We start from the raw sequence: 25,003 nt of genomic DNA on the forward strand, positions 1-25,003 counted from the left end.
TTTTAAAAAATCATTTTCTCCCCTCTGCCTTTCTGTTCTTTCTTTCTGATTATTTCATTGTTGAACTTCCTAGACTGATCTTACCTCTTTTCTCCTATTTTTTATTTCTCTATCTTTTTGTTCAGTTTTCTGTGACATGCCCTCAACTTTATCTTTCACCCTTTCTATTGACTTTCTCTTATTTCAGTTACTACAGTTTTTAAAAATTTCAAGACCTTTTAATTATTCTCTGAATGTTCCTTTTTATAACAACCTATTTTTGTCTGTTCTTCTGTCATGAATATAATCTTCTCTTATTTCTCAGAGAATATTACAGTTAAAAAAATTTTCTCCTCCTCTTTCGATTGTCTCTATTTTCATTTTCTGGTTGGTTTGGTCTCCTTTTTTATTCTGCGGATTTTCTTAAAAGGTTTTGGTGTCCTTGGTTGACCTTTCCTATTTAAGAGCAAGGCACTTGGATCTCCATTATGGGTGGTGCTTCACTGTGAGGTGGTCGAGCAGGGAACTTGCTGGTTTATTTAGAAACCCACAAATATCCATGTCTGTAGGTCTGTTCTCTTGGGACATTCAGCTTCCCCGGAGAATAATCTACCAATTTGGAATCTATTCACATAGGATTATAACTTGGAGCTAAGAAATGAAAGGAGGCTGCGAGTCTCACTTTCCTCAAATCCTGATTTTCATTAGGCATCTGTCTGTCACTCTTTTGTTGGCCTGGTCTCCTTCAATATGGAGCCTTTTTGGTTAGTGTAACCACAGAATGAACCACCTATCTCCTGCTGGATTGAGAAAGGGTTGTTGCTCAGCTTTGCAAGAGGTACTCCGGGATCTACTTTTTCACTTTTAGTTCATCTTTTCCATCCCCCAGGTCCACCCCTGCCCTCTGTAGCTCATGGTGCTATAGAGCATGGAGACATCCAGTGTCCTGTCCCATGGTTTGGCACTGGCACACACTTGCTACTCAGCGTTCTCAGGTCTGTGAATACCACCCCTTCTCCTTATCATCCATCAGCTAGTGTTATCACTCACCTTCCATTCTCTTTGTCCATGTGGGTTTATAGCACTTGTAATTCTTTATTCTCATTTCAGTGGTGTACTGGGAGCGAGAAGAGATCTATTTACACGTTTAAACAGCTGTGTTTAACTGATAGTTGGCATGACTGTTTCTATCCTTTTAGTTTTTAAACTTTTTTCCCCTCATTACCTACTTTATATGAAAAATGTAACTCATTTCAACCACAATACAAGCGTCCACCATTAGATGAGGAACTCAGTCCTAGTTCTTAGCTTTATGCAGGAAGGCAGTCAGCCTCTAGTTCTCTGCTGCCTTTTAGGTGTGTTTGGTTTCTATTCTTCCATAGGATTAAAATCTCAGCAGCCACATTTATGGTCCTGTTGCCCTGTTGACCTCATGACTCTAGTCCACTGCAGTTCAACTCCATTTTCACAGAAAAATGTAATCTTGTTTTTTGAAACATACACACATTTCCCCCTCTAGTTTAGAGTTTATAAAGGAGGAGGTCTCTTAAGATACTGGTTCTGCTACTTTGATCATTAGCCCTTCCTGTGACATTTTGGAAGCCCTGAACTTGCTGCAATTTATTTCAATCTTCCATCCTTACCTCTTAATTGAAAGTACTTTTTCTATAGTTTCTTGATTTCCAAACACAGGGGACTCTCTTTAGTTTTTGCCTCATGAACTTCCCTATTGCATTTGATACTTTGTATTGTGTCCTCCTGGAAACTATCGATTCTTTTGGCCTCTGTATGCTGTGTTTTCCCAGTGCCCCCTGTATACCTCTATATCTCCAAACAATCCTTCTGTGACTCATTTGGGACTCCCCTTTTCCATCTGCCACTGAAATATTGGTGTTCCCCTAGGGTTTCAACCTGAGACCTCTGCATTTCTCACTGTACACACTTGTGGTTGACCTCATCCGCAATCACCATTTTAGTTACTAACCAAATGCTGATGTGAATGAAATCTCCATCCTCCATCCATTGCCTTTGGGCAATCTCCAGACCTCTTGCCCAAATTTCAACTCTAAAGCAAACTCTGCTTGCCGTCGCTAACTGAAAGGCCTACAGTCATCTCAAATTCAAGATGCCCAAGGATAAACATGTCATCCGTCTTTCTAATCTTGGTGCTGCTCTTGGATTTTCTGTTGCAATTGATGAATTGTATTTGCCTGTTCATCCAAGCTAGAAACCTGGGAGTCATCCATTATTGAATCCTCTTTCTTCTCACCCTCCATAATCTAGTTATATTTTTAGATTGCCCAGGAACAGAGGCATGGTCAATTTAGCCCAAGTAACAGGAGCCTATTTGGGCAGAAAGGAAGACAGAGGTCTAATGGCAGTGAATCAGGCCTCATAAAAAGTACAAGTAGACCCAAGACAGCTCAAGAAACCTCAGGACTTGCAGTTTGTGGAGCTTCCTGGCCATTGATGTGACTCCAACATCTCTGCCATATTCACCCCTGACATTATTTTTCTTATTATTTTCCCACATCCTGTATCTTTCCCTACATCATAGATTATCTTCATAACTTTGGCTTGGTATGGCCTCTCATGATTCCAACCCTACTTCCTCCTTCACATAGCCTCAACTTGATCTCATTTGGGCCTCTTCTCCTCCTCTTCATAGACTGTTTTCTGTATGTTCAATCTTTTGGGTCTCTGGGATCTAGGTCACATTGCAGGGTACTTGTCAGCTTCCCTTACATCAGGTTCCCATTCCACTCCAAGCACCTGTAACAGGAGGAGAGGTTAACGTGAGATGAAATATGACCACTCCAGTTTGCCCCTGAATGGTCTAGACTGGACATTTATCTGTCACAGGGGAAGCTAGCATAGCAGGTACTATGATTGACAGGTTAGTATATTCCTTACTCAATATATCATCAAGTCCTATCAAATTTATCTTCTGAACAGTTTTCAAGCCTACATCCTTCTCTCCATTCTTAATCTCAATGTTTTGGTTCAAATTCTCATCTTCTTTTATCTGCCCGTGGTGCTAGCGTGGTGCTATCCCTACCTCTGGTCTTGTTCCTTCAAATATATCTTCTGCATAAGCAACAGACTGATGGAACCAAAACACAGCCCATGTCATTTCTCTGCTTAAAAACTTTTAATACCTTACTCCCTTATTACTCCTAGGAACAATTCCAATTTCTATGATTTGACTTTTCCTCTTTGTGATCTTCTTTTAGCAGCTTACTTCCTTTTTATCTGTTTCCTATCCTCTGTCTTATTCCTCCTCCGCTTCCTGCTCCTTCTTCCTGAATTGATCATATTTTCAGTTTTAAGTATACTTAAAATATCTCTGTATTTATTGAATACAATTTGTTACTTGTTTTTAACTAAAATATCTGATGAATTTAATTTCCATTTGTCCCTTAAAAGGAATCCAGAAAAGCTAATCACATTAAGTTGTTTTTCATTTCCACATGATTAATTTTTCTTCCCTGAGGGTCAGTGCTTCATCAACTGTTTTGGCTGATTGCAAAAGCATCATAATCATCTTCTGGAATTCAGTCTCACCCCAATCCAATCCATCTTCTCCATTTATTTTTCAGGAACATCTATCTGATCATGCGTCTCTCCTGTGTAAATACACAAGGCTTCTCTCAGGCCTACTCTCTGCAGCTTCCTCTCTCTCACATCAAATGCCCTCCATGTACTTTCTTCTATAGTCTCCCTGTGAAGGGGCCTCTTCATACCCCCAGCCCCAACCAGGCAGTGGGCTTTAGTCTGCAGGATGATATTATAGTTTCATTTAATCTTTTTTTTTTTTTTTGACATAGAATCTCTGTCACCCAGGCTAGAGTGCAATCATGGCTCACCGCAGCCTCATCCTCCCAGGCTCAAGTGATCCTCCCATCTCGGCCTCCAGAGTAGCTGGGACTATAGGCATGTGGCTAATTTTTTTTTATTTTTAGTAGAGATGAGGTTTCCCTATATTGCTCAGGCTGGTCTTGAACTCCTGGGCTTAAGCAATCCTCCTGCCTTGGCCTCCCAATGTGTTGGGATTATGGGCGTGAGCCACTGCACCCAGCCTACTATTCTATTTATTCTCCTAGAGAATATCACACTAATTTAGGTTTTGGGGCCAATTTCTGTGTGTCCATTTGATACAATCTAACTATTTGAAAAGTGAAAAATTCAGTTCTTTAATGTGCCGTTTTTCTTACTGCCACCAAGATACTGATTTAGCTGTTGGAATGCTGAGCCCAAACTCCTAGCCATTATGATACATGACCTCTGGGGGCAGAGTTGTGCTATTATCACTTTTACTTAGTCTCCTTCCCCTTGGCCCCTCTACTCCAGCAAACCTAGCCCTGTGCTCTCCCTGTAGGTGGTTAATAAATGCTGTGGGTGCAAGAGATTATTTTCTCCAAAGTACTTGGTTACCAGCTACCTATGTCAAGGAGTTAAAAGAGAAAGCCAAAATCAGGCCAGGTGCAGCGGCTCATGCCTATAATCCCAGTGCTTTGAGAGGCCTACATGGGCAGATCACTTGAACCCAGGAGTTCAAGAGTAGCCTGGGCAACATAGCAAGACCCTGTCTCTACCAAAGAAACATAAAAACTAACCTGGCATGGTGGCACCTGCCTGTAGTCCCAGCTACTCTGGAGGCTGGGGCAGGAGGATAGCTTGAGCCCAGGAGGTCAAGGCTACAGTGAACCATGATTGTTCCACTGCGCTCCAGCCTGGGCACACAGCAAGATCCTATCTCAAAATATATATATAGTGTAAATTTATTTTTAAGTCTATGTTTGTTTTAAATCTTTGTCTAAATAGCTAATTCAAGGGTCACTTGAGGCCAACCATGGTGGAGCTTAAAGCACACAACTGGGATTGGTGCCACCTGGAGGGAGATGGGGGTGGTGCATGAGGTGATGCATGGTGGATGACTTCAGTCCAGTGGCTTCTCATTAAGATCAGGCCAACGCCTCCCTGGCAGGCCATTTAGATCTTTAAAAATTGATATATAATAAACTGCACATATTTAAAATATGTGGAATTTGATATGTTTTGACATAGATATATACCTGGGAAACTGTCACCACCATCAAGATAATGAACTCACCTGTCACCCACCAAAGTTTCACTGTTCCCCTTTGTTATCTCTCCCCCCGCTGCTCCGTACTGCCCCACTCTCTCCCCAGGCAACAAATGATCTGCTTTTTGTCACTACTGGTTAAGTTTGCATTTTCTCGAGTTTCATATAAACTATAATATATAGTTGTTTGTGGGGAGGAATCTGGCTTCTTTTAGTCAGCATAATTATTTTGAGATTCATCCATGCTGTTACATGTTCATTCGTTCTTATTGCTGAGTTGTATCGAGTCCATTGTATGGCTCTGTCTCTATTCGATTAATCATTCACCTGTTGTTGGATATTTGGGTTGTTTGCAGTTTTGGACCACTACAAGTAAAGCTGCCATGAACATTCATGTACAACTTTTTGTGCTTTCATTTTCATTTCTCTTGTGTAAATACCTGGGCGTGACATGGATAGGTCATATAGTAGCTGTATGTTTAACTTTTACATTCCTGTCAGCAATGTGTGCTGGTTCCAGTTGCTCTACATCCCCACAACACTTGGTATGGTCAGTCTTACTGATTTTAGCCATTCTAATAGGTATGTAGTGGGCCATTTAGATTTTGAACTTAAAGAAAAATTCAGGTCCCATTCCAGGCCTACTGATTCATAACTTAGGGGGAGAGAGCTTGGGGTGTTGTATTTTTAGAAACAGAGATGGCTGATGGTCAGTCAGTTTGGGATGCCCCAACACTACATCACACTGGTTCCAACTTCTCTGAAGGGGCTCAGATAGGACCCTGACAGAAGTTGGGTGGGAAGGCAGGGAATGGAGACAGAAACCTTTTTCTTCAGGATGAAATGTGTCTAATTAGCTGAGCTTGTGTTGGATCAGCTATCATCGACCAGAGTCAAACCTGTCAGCTTAAAAAAGTCCCTAATTAGAGGAGAAAAACCTTGATTCACCTCCTCTGGAAGATCTGCTCCTATGTCATCGGAGGGAGTGATATTGTGCTGGGTCAGGCAGCACGGCTCAGTGGGGCCAACATCAGAGTCTGCAGAAGAGTCAAAATGGCACCGCAAATCCATTGCAGGAGTCTAGCCACAGTCAAACTCCTTTCCATTCTAAGGTGATAGATACAAGTAGAAAAGAGACAATGTAGAAGAAGTAGCCATGCTCAAAAACAAAGTACAACTTCTGTGGCTAGAAATGGTACAGAAACACACACAAAACAGTCACATGGCTGCTGCTGGAGGTCCACTGGGCTCCAGGACTAGTAGCAGGTTTAGGCAGCCAAGAGTTCATTTCTTGGCGGGTAAAGGGAGACACAGTGCTCCCACAAAAGAGAGTAGACTAGAGTTTGGTTTGCTGCTTATAGGAAGGGGCTAGGGTAGGGTTTTCCTGTCTGGGAAAGGGGCCAAAAGGAGTTGTTGCCAGGGCCAGCTTGTTGGAATTTGATCTAATACATATTGAGCATTTGCTATGTGTCATGCAGTATTCTAAGCTTCTTGTTTGGATTAATGTTCTTAATTCTCACAGTGCTATGAGGTAGATTCAATTACTATCATCATTTTAGAGATAAGACAAAGAAAGATTGTTATGTTTATTGCCTTAAACCAGACAGCGAGTAAGTACAGAGCAAGGGTTAACACCAAGGTGTATGGCTCCCCAGTCTGTGGGCTGGACCACCACCCCAGGGCCTCACAGTGAGTTGCAAGACAAGTGAAGTTGAAGGAAGCAGATACAGTCTTGCAGCTAGACTCTGAAAGAAGCCACATACTAGGGCAGTGCCAGGACCTGTGATCCCAGTAACATGGCAGGTCAAGAATGATCGATAGATGATGGATTCTGTTCTAGGGGCCCTACAGTCTGGCTGGAGGGCACCTGAAATATTTCAAGAGTGGGAGGAAGTTATAGAGCAAGAATAAGAGTGAGCAAGTGAGTACAAGGGAAAGAAAGAAAAAGCTTCCTCTGAAAATGAGCCTGCAAACAAAAATTCTAAAACACACAAGGGAGAGCGATATGGAGACACAGCCAACAACAAAAACACATGGTCAGTGAGATCACTTTAGATAAAATGAGACTATTAGAGCAATGTGAAAATGATTTTAAAATAAGTCTACTTATGATCTTTAAAGAAATAAAGAATGATATACTAACCACTAAAAGTACAAGGATATTTAAAACAGAAAGGCAGAAATGAAATACAAACCACTATAAAAAAGAATTAAATAGAAAGCCCATGAATAAAAAATATTTTGAATAAGTTGAAGAGAGAATTAGTGAATCAAAAGATTATACTGAGGGATTCACCTAGAATGCAGAACAGTAAGCTAATGAGATAAAAAATATGAAGGAGCAGATAATAGTGATAGCCAGCTATTTTTAAATTTGCCAGTGGACAAAATGCTTTACATTGCTATTTCATGTAAACTTTATGACTAACCTTTGAAATGAGTGTCTTCATTTCCCCCCACCAATGTTATGCACAAGTAATAACATCGGCAGATTCACCCTTTTCTTGGTCCAGTCTCTTTTATTTCTTTTGTTTTATCACAATCATACCCCCTACATATAAAATACATCCTATATAAAATAATTACACAATCATTTTATATAATTATAAAAGTTATACATATTTATAATAGAAAATGGAGCAAGTATACAAGCAGAAATCATCTGTAATTCTCAAACCCAGGGATCCCCAGTCCTCGGGCCATGGCGGCACAGCAGGAGATGAATGGCTGTCCAGTGAGCATTACCACCTGAGCTCCACCTGTCAGATCAACGGTGGCATTAGATTCTCATAGGAGCAAGAACCCTATTATGAACTGCACGTATGAGGGATCTAGGTTGTGTGCTCCTTATGAGAGTCAAACTAATGCCTGATGATCTGAGGTGGAACAGTTCCACCCTGAAACCATCCCCCGCACCCTTGGTCTGTGGAAAAATTGTCTTCATGTAACCGGTCCCTGGTGCCAAAAAGGTTGGGGATGGCTGCTCTAACCCACCAATATCTACTGGATCAGGATCTTACTGTGTTTCCTTCTAGGCTCTATTCTGTGTCACACATATATGTACATATATTTGATGTTATCTATAATAATTATTATGGTATTTTAAATATATTATTTTTAAACCATTAAATATTTAACATTAAAATTAAATATTTAACCAATTAATATTATTTAATATTATAGCATGAGTTTTTCTCATATTAAAATTCTTAGAAAAACTTCCTATCAACTGCCTAATAGACGCACTATAATATTTTTTGACCATATCTCTGCTGTCAAGTTTTAAGCAAGTTCAAATTTTCCACTGATACAAATAACACTTTATACATAAATCTGTGTATCTCTATTTACTTTGGATTTTTTCTCTTTGGGATATTTAATTTAGGAAGTGTTTAAATTTCCATATTTTCCACCTAAAAACTTTTGTTATGAATTACTAGTTTTGTTATGTTGTCAGGGAATGTTGCTTATACAATGTATGCATTTAGGAACTTATGAAGCTTTCTTTGTAGCTCAGTATCAACTTTTGTAAATGTTTCATGAGCACATGAAAAGAAGGTGTATTTAGTGATTGTAGGGTACATTGTTTGATGTATTTTTATTAATTCAATTCCATTAATTTTATTCTTCAAATCCTCTATATCTTTACTTATTTTTCTTTTCTTAATCTATCAAGAAAGAGTGGGTGGCTTAGTGTTCCATGACAATTATATATATCAATTTTCCCATGTGTTTCCAACAATTTTTGCTTTTATTTGCTGAGTTATTTGACATATAAAAATTTGTGAATAGTATATTTTCATTGTGGATTATAACTTTTATAAATGTAAAGTGACATTTTATGTTTCGTTGAATGCATTTTGCTTGAATAAAACCTTTCCAGAATTTAACATTGCCACTCTGTGCTGTACTATTTCGCATTTGCCTGAAAAATCGTTATTCATTCTTTTATTTCACACCATTTTTTGCTATTTTGCTTTATGTCTATTTCTCACAGTCAAGCTATTGTAAGATTTGAGTTTGTTGCACAATTGGAGAATAGTTTTATTAGGGTAGTTAAACTCTTTATATTTATTTAGTGATTGATTTATTTTTTTATTTGCCACCTATTTTATGCTTCTCATTTTTATGCTTCTTTGCTTTTTCTTTGTTTTCTATCTAAAGCTATATGGAATGTGTTTTATGTCTTTTGATATTATTCAGTGACTTGGAAGACATATTCTATTTTAAATTATGTTACCAATTACTTTTAAGTATTAGAAACATTGAAACGTGTACTTTAAAAAGTTTTCATTGTGATATAAAACATGTAAAAATGTATTGTATACCAGAAAATTACTAAGAGAGTAGATTTTTAAATGTTTTCATCACAAAAGTGAGATTATATATGTGTTAATTAGTCTGATGTAGACATTCCAAAATGTATATACACATCAAAACATCATGTTGTACACCATAAATACAATTTTCATTTGTCAATTAAAAAAACACAAATAATTAAAAATGCATAAAATACATATGTTCAGTTTATTGAATAATTATTAAGCAAATACCTATATAAATACGAACTTTTACTTTCACTTTCTGTATCCTTATGGTTTTGACGTGCTTCCTATTGGAATGATATGACATGGTTTTTATTTAATCCAGCATGACGATCTTTGTTTTTTTATTTGAGTGTTCAGTTCATTTAGATTTAAGGCAGTTGCCCATATGTTTTCATTTTAAATCTACCACCTTATTTTGTGGTTTCCATTTGTTCAACCTTTTCTGTTTCTTTTACATTACTTTATTGCGTTTATTTGGACTTAAGGAGTATTTTAGATAATCATTTCAATTTTTTTTGGCCAGTTTGGAAATATTTATTCTGTTTCTATTCATTTGGTGGTTACCTGAAAAATTACTATGTGTGTACTTAACTTATCAAAGTCTGAAGGAAATTGATTTTTTAAGTCTCCCTCTGGTAAATACAAGCACCTTAGATTATTTTAAGTTTTCCTGGCTTATACATTACTGTTGTCATACATTTTAGTTCTTTGCTTCTTATGCCTTGAAGCATTTAATAAAACTGTTTTATATAGCCAATATTTAGATTTATCCAAATATTCACTATGTTCTTAGTTCCTTATTTCTTCTTTTATCTCAGACTTATATAGGATTACTTTCTACCTGAAGTACATCCTTTAGAATTCCCATTGGCTAGGGTCTGCTGATAGTGAATTGTCAGATATTGTTGGTCTGAAAATGTCTTTATTTCACTCTCATTTTTGAAAAAATTATATATATATAATTTTAGTATATATTAATTATATATAACAGGACTTATATGATTAATATGTAACATGTTATTAATATATGGTATATAAAATTATATTTTATATAATTATATATAAATTACATATTATATATATAAAATATCCCCTATATATATCTATAGATAGATATAGATATAGATATAGATATAGATATAGATATAGATATAGATATAGATATAGAGGCCAGGAATAGAATTTCTGATTGGCAGTTGTTTCCTTTCAGTACATTGGAACGTTGGAGATACTGTTTTGGCTCCTGGCTGTTGTCGTTGCTGCTAAGAAGTTGGCTATTAGTGCAACTACTGCTATGTTGAAGTAATCTATCTTTTAGAATTAAAACAATTTTTTTCTCTGTGTTCTTCAATTTATATATGTTGGGGTTGGGTGTACATTATTTTTATTCACTCTTTTTGGGATTCGTTTGGCTTCTTGAATCTGTGCATTGATGCCTTTCATTAATTCTGGAAAATTGTCCACCATGATCATTTCATATATTATCACTCCCTTATTTTCTCTTCCTCCTCCTTCTGGAACTCTGTTTTATACTGTATTTTGAATAATTTCTTCTGCTCCATTTTGTTCACTAATTCTGCATTTGCCGTGTTCGTTGGCTGTTACACTCATCCATTTTTTATTCCAAGGAGTAACAGAGAAGATATTCTAATTATTAAAAAAAGCATACTATAACTTTTTATAGCTTCTGTCCAGAGATTTATTGCTGATATTTTAAAATGGTGTTTTATTGCATTAAACAAAGTAAGGGTAGTTGAAGTTTAATCTAGCCTGATAATACTAATAGTTGAAGTCTTTGTGGCTATTGTTTCTGTTGGTTCTCGTTCCTTTTGCTTTATCTGTTTTATTATTGTTGACTATATGAATGTCATTGCCCTCATAAATATTATTTTTGAGATCGTTCGAGGCATATATGAAGGTGCATTCTTCAGAGAGGATTTGTGTTTACTTTTCTGCATCCCTAGGGGAACTACAAATCTAGAACCACATTACATTAAATTCATGCCAAAGGATTTTATTCCCCACCCCCAACCAAGAGATGTAAATTTCAGCTATGATCTGCTCCAGGGCTGCTTATGTTTGCAACTTCTCAGGTAAGGTTTTGTTTTCACCCTTTTCCTATTTTTCTGGTTAGTGCGAAAGCAGCTTTCCTATTAGTATCCTGGGGTGGTGGTGAGAGATGGGGGTGAGGATGAAGGCTTCCTTCTAGTTCACTCTTATCTTGAAGATGCAGTCTTTTGTGGCCCCAGATTCAAGTGGGGAGCATATTCAGATAAATGTTGAAGTTATATCTGCCCCTTCTGCCCAGTTCAGGCACTAGAATTCAATGTCAAAAGGGAAGCTCAAGTTTGCAGAGATAGACAGATACACCCTCAGGACAAAGACTACTTTACTGCTCTGTTTCCCTGGCTGAGTTTACAATCCCACCTACACTTTGGCCCTGGTATGCTGTCAGGTCTTCTCTGATTTTATGTTTTTTTTTTTTACTTTTTAAAATATGGTGAAAAGATACATATTTAGAACTTAGCCAGCTGGACTTGGTTTAGATGGTCTCAATTTTTGTTGGCAACATCCAAAGCATCACAGTTAGGAGCGCCAGTGGAACATATGCCCTCTTTTCTCCATCAGGCCTAATCAGGGTGTTGACCTGGACTACACCAACGTCGTAGAGTTTCTTCAAGCCTGTTTGATCTGCTGCTTGTTGGGTTTAACAACGACAGCAAACACAAGCGTGTTGTTGTCCTCTACCTTCTTTGTGGCCGACTCAGTGGTCAGGGGGAATGTGCTGATGGCACAGTGGTCAAGGTTGTTTCCCCTGGGGGCGCTCTTCTGAGCATATTTGGGCTGCCTTTGGAGCCGTGGTGTCTCGAGCCCGGAAGGTGGGTGATGGGCAGATTTATTTTTATTTTTTATTTTTATTTTTTATAGCTGTTGATGGCTTTCAGCACTGCCTTCTTGGTCTTCAAAGCCTTTGCTTTGGCTTCAGCTTTGGGAGGGTGATGTAGTTTGGCTGTGTCCCCACCCAAATCTCATCTCAAACAGTAGCTCCCATAATTCTCACGTGTTGTGGGAGGGACCCAGTGGGAGATACTTGAATCATGGGGGCAGTTTCCCCCATAGTGTTCTCATGGTAGTGAGGAAATCTCACGAGATCTGGTGGTTTTATAAGGGGAAATCCCTTTTGCTTGGTTCCCTCTTTCTCTCTTGTCTGCCTCGTGTAAGAGTTGACTTTTGCCTTCCGCCATGATTGTGAGGCTTCCCGAGCAATGTGGAACTGAGTCCATTAAACCTCTTTTTCTTTGTAAATTACTCAGTCTCGGGTATGTCTTTAACAGCAACGTGAAAACAGGAGCTTCCTTCTTCGCTTTTAGTGCTATCTTCCTTCCCTGCTTTTAAAAAGATTTAATAGACATCTTTCTGGAATTTTTAGTTGTTTGCAGCAAGTGCGTTGGTCTGAATTACTAGCCTACCATAATCTCACAAATAGAAGTCAATACAGTCTTCCATGGTTGGTTCCAGGATCCCTCACAGATACCAAAATCCTCAGAAGCTCAAACCCCTTATATAAAATGGCATAGTATTTGCATATTAACCTCTACACTTTTAAATAATCTCTAGATTACTTGTAATACCTAATACAGTATAAATGCTATATAAATAGTTGTTTAGGGAATAATGACAAGAAAAAATGTCTGTACATGTTCAGTACAGACACAGCCATCCATATTTAAAAATTTTTTCCCTGTAGTTAGTTGAGTCTGTGGTGGTAGAGCCTGCAGATATGGAGGGCTAACTCTATATATACTTTGAGGACAAAAACAGCAAGTAAGATAATACTTTTGACACTGAGCATATAAGAAACTTGACGTGCACTTTACTTTCTTCCATCATCACCATTTACTTCTCCCCTTCTCTCTACACTTTTCCATCTAGTTTAATATAAACCGCAGTTGTATTAGTCCAGAATATTAATTTTATAATATTGTAATATTATGTGGCTTCTTTTTCGCATTTTTTTCTGGCATTTGCACTTAATTTTCAATCATATTTATAGCAATTATTTAGATTTATACTTAGTAGACCTCAGTAGTTAGCAAATAACTCTTCCCATTTTTAACTCAATTATCTATCCTTAAGTACTTTAAAACACCTTTTTTTTTTTTTTTTTTTTTTTTTAGGAAAGGGAAATTAGGGAGTATATTTTCTGAATTCCTTTATATTCCATATCATCCTTGTTTCTTTTACATATCAAAGAAGATTTGGCTGGGTATAGAATTATATAGAATCTTTCCTTTTTAAAGCCCTATTTTTGGCCAGCAATGGTGGCATGTACCTATAGCCCCGGTTATGCTAGGGAGGTGGGAGGATTACTTGAGTCCAGGAGTTTGAGTGAGCTATGGTTGCGCCACTGCACCCTAGCCTGGTCAACAGAGTGAGAACCTTCCTCTAAAAATAAAATACAATATTCATTAAAAAAACACCCGTATTTTCTTTATTATTTTTAAGTTTTCTCTTTTTAAATTGACAAATAATAATTGTACATACTCATGAGGTACATAGCAATGCTTTGATACATATAATGTGTAGTGATCAGGTTAGGGTAATTAGCATATCCATCATCTCCAACAAACATTTGTCATTTCTTTGTGTTGAGAAAGTTTAATATCCTACTTCTAGCTATTTGAAACTACTAATATATTACTAATTGTAGTCATCCTACAGTAGTGCAGAATACTAGAACTTATTCCTCCTATCTCCCTGTAATTTTGTATCCTTTAACAAATCTCTCCCTATATCTTCCTTCCTTCTACCTTCCCAGACTCCAGTGTTCTCTGTTATATTATACTTTTTACTTCTACGAGATCAACTTTTTTAGCTCCCACATAAGAGTGAGAACATGTGGTGTTTAACTTTCCGTTCTTGGCTGATTTCACTTATAACCTCCTCCAGTCTCGTCCATATTGCTGTGAATGGCAGGATTTCATTCTTTTTGTGGCTCAGTAGTATTCCATTATGTATATATACCACATTTTCTTTATCCATTCATCTGTTGTTGGACATCTGGGTTGAGTCCATATCTTGGCTATTGTGAGTAGTGCTGCAGTAAACTTGGAGGTGCAGAAGTCTCTTTGATATATTGATTTCCCTTTCTTTTAAAACCCTCATTTCTCCTGCCGGTTCGTGTTAGAATGAAGTCTGAAGTCAGCTTGGTTGTTTCTATTGCTTTGTTGGCAGCCTTTTTGTTTTTTTACTATAAAATTACTATAAAATCTGATTTTTAAAATTCATTCTTTTTTTTTTTTTTTTTGAGACAGAGCCTCGCTGTCCTGACCAGGCTGGAGTGCAGTGGTACGATCTCGGCTCACTGCAAACTCTGTCTCCTGGGCTCAAGCAATTCTCCTGCCTCAGTCTCCTGAATAGCTGGGATTACAGACGTGTGTCACCACATGGCTAATTTTTGTATTTTTAGTAGAGATGGGGTTTCACCATGTTGGCCAGGCTGGTCTCGAACTCCTGACCTCAGGTAATCCACCTGCCTCAGCCTCCCAAAGTGCTGGGATTACAGGCGTGAGCCACCACGCCCGGCCAAAAAATTCATTCTTAAGTAATCAGTATGTCCTAGGCTTTACCCATTACTCACTGGGGAGTTTTGATATCTTGTATTCACAAGAGTATCCCAAATTTTCAATGTACAATGCCCCAACATACTTAGTGGTAGGAATCTCGGATTTTCTCAAGAGTCCTCCTGTGACAGCTACTGTATTCCTGGGAATCTCCAGGGACCCTTTCATGTCCAGCCTCAGTATCCCCCAGCCCCCACCAGTTTCTGAGTCCAAAGGCAGAAACTCTATGGCTCCCAGATGTTGGTTTCATGTTTAACCAGAGCCAGTTCACATGGTTCCAATTGCCCCTTTGTCCCATTCACTGTGGGTGTGCCTCCCGGTGCTGCAGACGGCCTCAAGCTGCTTTTGCCCATGCTGCCCATGGGTGCAGCATCACTGACCTCCTCTGGATTGTCAACTTCCATGGCTCCTTGTCTCTCTGGCCAGTGTGCAGTCACCTTCCTCTGTTTTTGCCCAACTCTGCCAGCTGGAGTTTCCAAAGCAGAACTATCTGACCCTTAATGCCTTTGTCTCTCCCACAGGACTCCTGAGCTCTAAGAAAGTCAAAGGATATACCTAGGCACCTGTTTCCAGTGTACTTGAACATTTTGCAACAGTTTAGAAGCTCTTAGAGTATACTGTGACCAGCAGTTAGGAGGCTGATTTGCTTGGAAGTGAGGAAATAAAGCAAACACAATAAGTACTCATGCTCTCACTTGCATTTTCAGGCAAAAAAGAAGGGAATGACAGGCAAGTGTGTACCCCCTTCTTATGTGAAGCTGTGGCCTGGGCTGTGGCCTGACCTGCGGCCCCTGGAAATCAGACCTTCAGCTCAGAAGTGAGACCCAAGAGGAGCCAACGTCTGTGTTTTGCACAAGATACAGAATGGTTGTTTGTCCACATTTTGGGGAATGAGTGGGCGGGAGCATCAAGGAACAGTTCAGTGCATTGAATCCTTGGGAGCAGCAGAATGCAAGAAAGGGATTTGAAGCAAATATCAGCAGCTGAGAACAGGGAGGTGGAAATCGGAAACCTGAGAGAATCCTTGAGACAAGAGTATGCATGAAGAGCAGGCTTCACAGGGAGACTTCAGAAGGGCTGTGCGCTAGAGGGGACCTCAGTGTGCCAAGCTGACTTGGAGTGGAATGACAGCAAGACAAGCCCTTGAAAAAATGTAGGGGTGGGAAGACAGTACCAGTATGAGGAAGCACAGGGGAAAAAAATGTGCATGATGATTTAAACTGCATTTGCACGGTGGCAGCGTCTGCCTGAGGGCAGAGGGGGCTGTAATTGAAGTTCCAGAAGCATGGAGACATTTAGTGGATGATTAACTCAGGAGATCCTTGTGTTTGTAGATGGAGCAAGGCAACTGACCTGGAGTGGGGGACAGCGAGGGATGCTTCTGGCTTCCCACTGCTCACTGGGAACCAGGTGGCAGCTCTTTGCTTTCTCCTTGTAGGGAGATGCTGGGCTTTGTGTTTACCCCAAAGACAAACACATTCCTCACAGTACTACCAATGCCTTGACTCAAGGGTCACACGGAATATGTCCAGTTGGGGGATGGATGTGTCCCACTCCTCTTGGAAGTCCTCGGTTGTGTCCTGGAGCAGGGCTGCCTGCAGTTTCTTCTAGCTAAGGAGTAGTGGATAACTGCATGAACAGATGAATGAATGGGTGAGAGTGTATGGAGGCCACAGAAGTCACTGTGAGCCTTGGAGGACACTGTCATTGTGACCAACCCCTGGCCTGCTTCTCAAAGGGTAAGTGTATTTGGGTCTCTGTCAGGGTCTGTAGGCTGTCTTGGGCAGTAATCCTCTTTGCCCTGACATCTGCTTTCTCTGGAGCAGTGGGGTTAGCCTCTCTCCATTTTGGGATGTGTGGGCAGGCAGTTAGTGCCTGGAAAAACGGAAGGGTAGGTTTTGTCTCATTCACACACCAAGGAAAGCTGAGAGAAGTGGGGGTGCAGGGGAGCTATTGTTTGTGTCTACCGTCTTTGCCTCAGGCTTTGGGATCCTTACGACAAACGTTGACATCACCAAGGTTAATTCCCTGATTGTATTAGTCCATTTTCACGCTGTTGATAAAGACATATCTGAGTCTGGGTAACTTACAAAGAAAAAGCAGTTTAATGGACTCACAGTTCCATGGGGCTGGGGAGGCCTCACATCATGGCGGAAGGTGAAACACACATCTTACATCACAGCGGCAAAGAGAGAATGAGAGCCAAGCAAAAGGGGTTTCCCCTTATAAAACGATCAGCTCTCGTGAGAGTTATTCACTGCCATGAGAACAGTATGGGGGAAACAACCCCCACGATTCAACTATCTCCCACCGAGTTCCTCCCACAACACATGGGAATTATGGGAGCTTCAATTCAAGATGAGATTTGGGTGGGGACATAGCCAAACCATATCACTGATGCACAGGCTCACATAACCCCAGAAAACACTGGCGAGGTGGGGGTTATGTGGTACAGAATTGCTTTCTATAGCCAGGTCCTCAGGGAGCCTGGGTCTCCCTTCTGCTTCTCCCAGAAGTAGAGGCAGCTGGAGCAGACCTCACCTGATACCTTCCTGCCTGCCACCCAGACCTACACAGAAGGCCCTGGAGCAGCCTCGGCAGCAGGCTGCTGTTTCCACTGGCTAAAGAATAGTCCCAGTCAGAGGACTCCTGGGCTGATGATGGGTGGATGCCTCCTCTTCTGTCTTTTTCTGTCCTCCAGGAACTCATATTTCCTGGTGCAGAAGGGGAAATTAAGCAAACCACTATCATAGATTTACTTTGATTGCACAGAAGTATCTCATCTGCATATATTAGAGTCATATAGGCAATAGCCAAGTACATTAAAAGCATGTTTTCTCAAAATAGAAATCTTCTGGTTTCAGAGAAAAGTTTGACATTGGTGTCTCTTGGCCCATAGATACCTGATAATCACAATGAGCAGATGGAACCTTTCTCATCTGACCTCAGAGGGGCCCAGAGAGGTGCTACTACTGTTTCCCGTAGTCTCCATAACTGCCTGCCACAAGGCTTGACATTCCCACGATATCCATTCATTTAGATTTAAGGAACTGAAGCTCCTTTTAAAAATGTAAATGTTGTCTGGGAAGGGTAACATATTAAACCATAATTTGCATTAGCTTGAATTAATTTATCAGGTTAGCATTAGTCTCCAATGAGTGCTCAGAAGAAGTGGAAATTGGTTTTGATTGGGGCTGAGGAGGGGAGCTGAGGGACACAGCAGGGAAGGCAGGGCAGGTAAAGCCCTCACAGGGAAGGGAGGCCTGAGCCCACACACCAGCTGTCTGGCTGGGGATGCAGAGCTATGAGCCAGGGCACTGGAGCCAACCTTGTATGCAGTTGCTTTTTCTAGGGACCAGCCTATCAATCATACACATGCCACCAATGCTTTACTTGGTAGTGTCATGATTGCCACATCTGTTTCATCTCCTCTGCCAAAGCCAAGCCTTAGCTTCCTTTGCACCAGTTCTTCTGACTGTTCTCTGCACATGCACGGCGATATCCTTAAGCCAAGGACTAAGTCATCTGATGAAATTGCAGAGCGGCTGGTTTGTTTTGTTGAATACTATTAAAATGAAGAGTGCAACCCAAGTATCCATGGCTTCTATCAGATAGGGGAACAAATGGGGCATCTTTTTTTTACTAGCTCATACTTCTACCTGCTAATGCAGGGCCTCTAGACCATTTCAAAGTCTCGGCCAGTGCGGGCGGGACTGAGACAGAATACGTGGAGCTGCTCTTGTTTATTCAGGGGCAATTCCTCATGAGGGGCCCCCTTTTGCCTGGGGGCTTGGGGATAACTCAGTCCTTGTGACCTTTACCTATTCTCTGTGGTGGGCAGAGCTGGTTCCTGGGGAAGAGGTGAGTGCACAAAGGGCTGAGGAGCTTCTTGGGAAAAGAGACCTAGACCAACCCCTTCTCTTTTGAAGTTCAATGGTATTAGAACTTCTCTGACAGGTTGCAATGGCCTTGAATTGAGGTTCCCGGACATGAGAGAAAGGAGGTCCTGAGGGGACTCACCATAAGGGCAGAAGAAGTGAGGGCCTGTGCTCAACCCTGAGGCCTAGGCACATCCTTAATTCCATTAACCTCACCCTACCTTTACACATGTGGCAAAAAGTCAATGCTGGTTAAGCCCAAGTCTGCTCCTTCACCCCTGCCCTTGAGTGGTGCACAGTGGCTGGGGAAAAACCCAAAATAAGATCCAGATCCTACTGTGGCTCATGTGATGTGATGTGATTTGTATTCTGCCTATGTCTCTGGCCTCATTTCATAATGTGTCCCTGGACTCACTTTGCTCCGGCCACCCTGGCCCTAAACCATGCACACATGGTTCCCACCTCAGGGTCTTTGCACATTTGCACATTCCCACCTCAGCGTCTTTGCTCTTTCCATGTGAAATGTTTCCTCCTCAGATTTTGCATACCTCATTCCTCACTCCATTCAAGTTTCTGTGCCTTCCTTTCTCAGAGAGCCTCCCCTAGCCTCTCTGTAACCCTGATCCCCACCCCATCACTCTCTATCCCTTGCCCTTCATTGACATTTCTGTACCTATGTTTATCTGTTTATTTTCTGTTACTCCTATATCTATGAATGTAAACTCCAAGTGCCTAAAAGAATGCCTAGCATGTTAGTAGATGCTCAACAAATACTGTTTGAATGAATAATAAATGCAAGAAAGTGAAAAATTCCAAAATTCTGACTATAATCACAAAATGGCAGTATAAAGTGTTCTGAGATAAAGTGGATAGCGGGATGCCATTTCATGACATTGACCACAAGGTAAAAAAAATAGATGGTAGGAAGCCCAATAGGTAACAATGATTACAGAGGCGCCACCATAGGAATGAGAAGGAAAGGGAATGGAAGTTGAGCTAAGGAGCAGTGTCAGATACTGTAGATGTCTCTCCCTTAAACTGGACTTCTGCAACAGCTCTTATCAATTCCCCTGCTATTCTTTCCCAGGCGACTTCTAATACCCTCATGGAGAAGTGCTCTTGCAGGTTGCCACTCAGAGTTACCAGGCATTCCCAGATAAACTGAAGCCAGAAGCAGGCTCAGCATTGGCTCAAGCTCGAAGCTCCCACTGTGGAACAATCTTAGGACCCTGTAGGAAAAAGCCGTTCCATCCTGTGGTGGTCATGGAAGAATATAAGGGGAAGGGGCCTTTAAAAGTTACAGCAAGGGTATTCTGACCTCTTGAAGGACATTGGCACTTTTGTTTTCATTTTAAGTGAGTGCATTTGGCTTTTTCCCTCTACGTCCTTTTAGAGTCCCAGGCTAAGCAGAGAACAGAAAGGCAACTCATAACCCCGGGACAGAGCACTGGATACGTTGTGGAAAAAGCTCCTCTATACAGTGACAAACAATAGGATGTTGCACGATGCTTTCTTCCAACTAATAGGTTCTGAGCAGATCAGGCCCAGGGTGGGAGATAATCTGAGGCAACTACAGATTCTTGGGGAAAGACCTGGGTGAAATGTGAATTCTTCTTGGCTTCAATAGCCTATAATAAAAATAATGACAACAATCATAGAACCAGAGGTCATAAGCTTTGTCAAAACAGGCTTGTTGGTCTTTTTCAAAAATTTTTTTTTACCATTATAACAAGCAGTAGTGCTCAATAAATATTTGTTGAATAGACAAATGAAAAAAATTTATAATACTGACTTGACAGATATAGAGTAGGTGTGTAAGGAAAATGTGAGACATTCTTACTTTCTGCGCAGATGAAACTGACCTTGGTAAAAAATCTGCCCCTCTGGGATCTCTAGAATACATTGATGGGTGGTAGGAGAAGCATTCCTGGAGTGTTTTATACCTGTTGTCACCTGGGATTCGGGATTGGGGCAGAAGTAGGGAGATATAAGTAAGTACTTAGAAAAGAGATTCTTAAACCCTTTCTGTACAACAAAACTCCCTTGAGGTTCTGGGCAAAGTATGATCCCTATGCCCTGGAATATTAACATGCACACAGAGGAAGCGTGGGGTGAGTAGTAAAAGAATGTCACCTATGACCTATATTAATCACTGATTCCCTTTTTCTCTTTCTCTTTCCCTTTCTCTACAACAAGGTTTCTCTACCCTGCCACTATTGACATTTTCGGCCAGGTAATTCTTTGTTATGATAGGGAAGATGCTTGCCCGTGTACTGTAGGATTTTTCACATCATCCCTGGCCTCTATCTACTGGGTACCTGTAGCACTTCCCTAGTCATGAGACTCAAAAACGTCTTTACACGTTGGGGGCAGACTCACCCAAGTTGAGAACCACTGCTCTACTGTTTTATGTGAGAACTGTTGGTCCTCATATGACTTACCAGCCAGGTAAGGCTGGGACCCTGGACCTAAAGGGTTACAGTGACCTTTGTTTGTGTCTCTGGCAACAGCCTCTTCTCATCTGTGGCTCCAGCTCCTGCTGGGCAGGACCACTGTGATTCTAGCTTTTTTGTTTTTTTTTTTTTTTTTGAGACGGAGTTTTGGTCTGTTGCACAGGCTGGAGTGCAGTGGCACAATCTTGGCTCACTGCAAGCTCCGTCTCCTGGGTTCAAGCAATTCTCCTTCCTCAGCCTCCCGAGTAGCTGGGATTACAGGTGTCTGCCACCATGCCAAGCTAGTTTTTGCAATTTTAGTGGAGACGGGATTTCACCACATTGGCCAGGCTGGTCTCAAACTCCTGACCTCAGGCGATCTGCCCGCCTCGGCCTCCCAAAGCTCTAGGATTACAGGTGTGAGCTACCACGCCCTGCCGATTCCAGCTTTTTAAATGTGCTTCTTCCTTTAAGTGTCGAATGCTGTCATACACATTTGACTTTATTGCTTCAGAGGATTGGATAGCACCCAGTTCATGATGGGCAACTCAGGTCCCGTGGGCACTTGGTATCTCATGGTTAGGCATTTAGTCTCTGCCATGGCCCTGTAGCAAGCCAGGAACAGCTTCTCAGAAGAAGAATAAATGTTAACAAAGAGGGCTGCTGGAGGGCTGCACTGTGATTCTCCTCCTGGGGCTTCCAGAGGTCCCATACTGCCTCCTTGACCACAGACACTTAGGGCAAGGTTGGCTGGCTTTACTGAGTCAAAGTCCCCAATGGCAGGGCTGCTTGCTCCTTGCCACTTATTTTCTGGGTCCCATTCCCAGCTCACTGCCTTACAGTTCCTTGGTAAATGGGTCAGAGCAGCATGCCTGTTGTGATGTGAGCTGCCTGCAAAACCCAGAGAGGCTCAGGGCTATCCCATGAGGAGAATTAGAGCAACTGAGAAATACATCCTCAACTGCTTCCTGCTCCACAGGTCCAGGGTATGCATCTACCTTGAGCTACAACGATTTCCGCTAAAGTTTCTTTTGGGAGCTGTGGAACGCTAATCACTGCCTCAGAGGGAGAACTGGCTGGCAGCCCTCTGCCGGGTTATTTTCCTGATGCCTTGTTCTCCTGCATCAATCAATTATTCACATTTGTTTTCTCCAGCTTGTTAATTAAACACAGATACTGTGTCTGTGTGTTTCAGTGCCTGAGTTGTCACAGCACCTAATTTGCAAGAAAACATAGTTAGGCTGGATTCCCTTTTCCCGGCTCTCTGTGTGTGGCGGGTGACTCTGAAACTTCTCACTGGGTTGCACCTCTCCAAGCACCGGCAGTAACTGAATGTGTAGACGAGGACCCTGCAGTCAACCTTCCTGGGGTTCCGGGAATCCTCGCCTATGGTGTTCCAAAAGATCCTGGAGGAGACACAGAAAATCCAGTTTGTGGGGAAAGAATGCGTTCCATTGTCGAGGAACTTCAGTTGCTAGAAAGCTGCTTCTCAGATTGAACTTTGCAGAGTCAGGCTTGCCAGTCAGCACTCAAGTGCCAGTCTATTCCCTCTTGGGTATTTTGATTTCAATTAGGAGACCTTGTTTATTGTGTTAAGGTCTCAAGTGTTTAGCTTCCCAAAGACATGTTTAGTCGTAAGGAAAAAATCTTTCTTTAAAATATCGAGCTCTCTATTAAAAACAAATGAAAAACACAGAAAGAAAAAAACGGAACAAAAAATATCAAATAAAACCCAACCATTATTCCTTGAATAAAATGGATCTTTCCCCCTAAATTTTCAATATTAAGTTTAAATCTTTTTGGATTATGGGCATAGCTTTGGGGATTCAGTCATCTTTTTCATTTACAGGTGAGAAACTTTCGGTCCAGGAAGTTACTTACTGTGTACTTACATAATAATAAGTACACTTACTGTGTACTTATCTAAGTGTACACAGTAAGTATTAGGGCTAGGATTTGAATTCTGTTCTGCTCTGAGACAGAGCCCATGTATTTTCTACCATTCCACACACAGCGTGGAGCCTCTGACAGGTAGAAATTCAATATATGGGCCGGACGTGATGGCTCATGTAACCCCAGCACTTTGGGAGGCCAAGGCGGGCGGATCACGAGGTCAGGAGTTCGAGACCAGCCTGGCCAACATTGTGAAACCCCGTCTCTACTAAAAATACAAAAAATTAGCTGGGCGTGGTGGCAGGTGCCTGTAATCCCAGCTACTGGGGAAGCTGAGGCAGGATAATGGCTTGAACCTGGGAGGTGGAGGTTGCAGTGAGCCGAGATCGCACCATTGCACTCCAGCCTGGGCAACAGAGCGAGACTCTGTCTGGTAAAAAAAAAATTCAATATATGACTGCTTTCTGAAAACCAAAGAGGCAGCCTTAGTTTGTTGAGCAGTTTTTCTTCTCTACTCCTGAAACAGAACTACACGGGTCACCTGCCTTTGCCAGAATGAAGAAACCCTCACTTCCGACTGGTACAGTAAGTTTTCTCTCTACTTGACTTTCTCTTTCTCACGACTGTCTTTTTTAATTTTTGGTAAAAACTTACTCTAAGCTTAATCTTTTCCAAAGTTACTTATTTGAGTTTGTCCACTAGAGTCCTCATAAGAACCAGCCCTACAGGTTGGTAATAAAGCCTCAGTTTACTCTGGACACCACTGTTTTCTCAAAGGGCTAGGACTCCTTGCAGAACGGCATGTGGACAGCACATTCAGACAAGACCTAATAAGGGCATTGAACGTCACTCAATAGTAAGCACTGGCCGTGTACGTACCAAACACTGAGTTAGCAGGTGGATTTCATATCCATACAGAGTTGCGTTGAATAGTTTTTTGAACGTATGTGGAGGCATATGTAATATATTGCAAGTAAATGAAAAACAAGAAGAGATATTTAAGAAGTAGTTTTGCCAGTGGGTCAAGGATCTCAGGCCGCAGAACTGTCCATTAGTCCTGAAGCTTTCATCAGTCTCTGAAGACAACACAGCCACTATCTGGGAACATCATTAGCCTCAAAGAGGTCTCCTCCTGCCTTTTGGAGTTTTATGAATGTCCATCCTCCTGCAAGGTGACTTTGAGAGCTTGGCCAGGGACCTGTGCTCTTTTGTCAGTGTGCATGAACTTGATATGTCCTTAAAAATATGTATATGTAATGTTGCCTGTTGAGTACCTCCTCACAGCCAGGAACTTGTGATCAATTACATCTCATTTTCCTAACCCCCTGTGAGCAATAGTATGCCTCTTTTTCAGATGAAGAAAGTGAGGCAGTGCAGAGGTTAAGTAACTTGCTAAGGTCATATAATAAGTGGCAGAACTGGATTCAACCCTGGGTTGGCTTAACTCTCTTTGTTCTTCTCCTTCCTTCTTTTGTGCTCCAGAATGATCAACTTAAAGAACCCTAGGGTTGTCTGTTGTAGAAATCAACTCTTTAATCATCAGCAGCTGCATTTCTCCTGGGATGCTCTGGTGGAAATGGCTGCACAGCACACTCTCTTCTGGTCCACTGGTCTACATGGGAGAGATGGAGGTCAGGGCATTGCCTCCTATGGATAGAGATCCCCAGGGCTGACACGGGGGCAGTTCTACTGGGGTTGGATATGTGCTTCATGATGACTGCCGTGACATAGCTACAAGATATCTACAGCCACCCTAAGGCCAACAACGTCAGTTAAGTGCCTG

General features: G+C 41.2%; 1 long non-coding RNA gene and 1 pseudogene across 1 annotated transcript, besides 1 other annotated feature; one reads left to right on the top strand and one right to left on the bottom strand.

The window, feature by feature from the left end:
* On the bottom strand, positions 11,952-12,389 carry RPL23AP62 (ribosomal protein L23a pseudogene 62; annotated as a pseudogene).
* Positions 12,307-12,505: a silencer, noted in NCBI's record as "fragment chr11:112332561-112332759 (GRCh37/hg19 assembly coordinates)". NCBI's record gives its function as "represses an EF-1alpha promoter that drives an FKBP-Casp9 reporter gene in an ReSE screen in K562 erythroleukemia cells {active_cell/tissue: K562}" and the evidence as "EXISTENCE:reporter gene assay evidence [ECO:0000049][PMID:32094911]".
* LOC107984389 (uncharacterized) lies at positions 15,421-24,976 on the top strand. The gene is made up of 3 exons (XR_001748387.1): positions 15,421-16,756; positions 23,747-23,805; positions 24,703-24,976. It is a non-coding gene; the product is annotated as an uncharacterized LOC107984389 (long non-coding RNA).
* Positions 24,977-25,003: the final 27 nt, after the last annotated feature.

This window comes from Homo sapiens, chromosome 11 (genome assembly GCF_000001405.40).
Source record: "Homo sapiens chromosome 11, GRCh38.p14 Primary Assembly".
NCBI lineage: Eukaryota > Metazoa > Chordata > Mammalia > Primates > Hominidae > Homo > Homo sapiens.